Genomic DNA, 1,452 nt, shown 5'->3' with positions numbered 1-1,452 from the left:
TTAGAAATGAACATTCATAAGATTTAAATTGCATGCCATTCTGAATAATGTGATCAAATCTCGTGGCATCCAGCCCTGTCCACCTTGGGGCCATGCTTCCTGCCCAATAGTCACTGACCAGACATTTCGGTTCTCAGATGGCTGTGCTCTTGCAGGCCTATGTTCAAGTAACCGTTATTTTGCTTAATAATGGCCACAAATCACATGAGTAGTGTGGATATGGCAATTTTGATATGTCAAAGAGAAGTCATAAAGTGCGTACTTTAAGAAGAAAGGTAGGATGGCCGAATAGGAACAGCTCCGGTCTACAGCTCCCAGCGTGAGCGACGCAGAAGACGGGTGATTTCTGCATTTCCATCTGAGGTACCGGGTTCATCTCACTAGGGAGGGCCAGACAGTGGGCGCAGGTCAGTGGGTGCGCTCACCGTGCGCGAGCCGAAGCAGGGCGAGGCACTGCCTCACTCAGGAAGCGCAAGGGGTCAGGGAGTTCCCTTTCCCAGTCAAAGAAAGGGGTGACGGACATACCTGGAAAATCGGGTCACTCCCACCCGAATATTGGGCTTTTCGGACCGGCTTAAAAAACGGCGCACCACCAGATTATATCCGGCACCTGGCTCGGAGGGTCCTATGCCCATGGAGTCTCGCTGATTGCTAGCACAGCAGTCTGAGATCAAACTGCAAGGCGGCCGCGAGGCTGGAGGAGGGCCGCCCGCCATTGCCCAGGCTTGATTAGGTAAACAAAGCAGCTGGGAAGCTCCAACTGGGTGGAGCCCACCACAGCTCAAGGAGGCCTGCCTGCCTGTGTAGGCTCCACCTCTGGGGGCAGGGCACAGACAAACAAAGACAGCAGTAGTAACCTCTGCAGACTTAAATGTCCCTGTCTGACAGCTTTGAAGAGAGCAGTGGTTCTCCCAGCATGCAGCTGGAGATCTGAGAACGGGCAGACTGCCTCCTCAAGTGGGTCCCTGACCCCTGACCCCTGAGCAGCCTAACTGGGAGGAGGCACCCCCCAGCAGGGGCACACTGACACCTCACGTGGCAGGGTATTCCAACAGACCTGCAGCTGAGGGTCCTGTCTGTTAGAAGGAAAACTAACAAACAGAAAGGACATCCACACCAAAAACCCATCTGTACATCATCATCATCAAAGACCAAAAGTAGATAAAACCACAAAGATGGGGAAAAAACAGAACAGAAAAACTGGAAACCCTAAAACGCAGAGCACCTCTCCTCCTCCAAAGGAACGCAGTTCCTCACCAGCAACGGAACAAAGCTGGATGGAGAATGACTTTGACGAGCTGAGAGAAGAAGGCTTCAGACGATCAAATTACTCTGAGCTACGGGAGGACATTCAAACCAAAGGCAAAGAAGTTGAAAACTTTGAAAAAAATTTAGAAGAATGTATAACTAGAATAACCAATACAGAGAAGTGCTTAAAGGAGCTGATGGAGC

General features: G+C 51.0%; 1 annotated feature.

The window, feature by feature from the left end:
• Positions 434-977: an enhancer, noted in NCBI's record as "H3K27ac hESC enhancer chr8:115017837-115018380 (GRCh37/hg19 assembly coordinates)". NCBI's record gives its function as "activates a minimal SCP1, AML or CMV promoter by ChIP-STARR-seq in naive H9 embryonic stem cells {active_cell/tissue: H9 hESC(naive)}" and the evidence as "EXISTENCE:reporter gene assay evidence [ECO:0000049][PMID:30033119]".

The sequence above is a fragment of the Homo sapiens genome, chromosome 8 (genome assembly GCF_000001405.40).
Source record: "Homo sapiens chromosome 8, GRCh38.p14 Primary Assembly".
NCBI classification, from domain to species: domain Eukaryota; kingdom Metazoa; phylum Chordata; class Mammalia; order Primates; family Hominidae; genus Homo; species Homo sapiens.
This window is presented reverse-complemented; position numbering and strand designations above follow the sequence as displayed.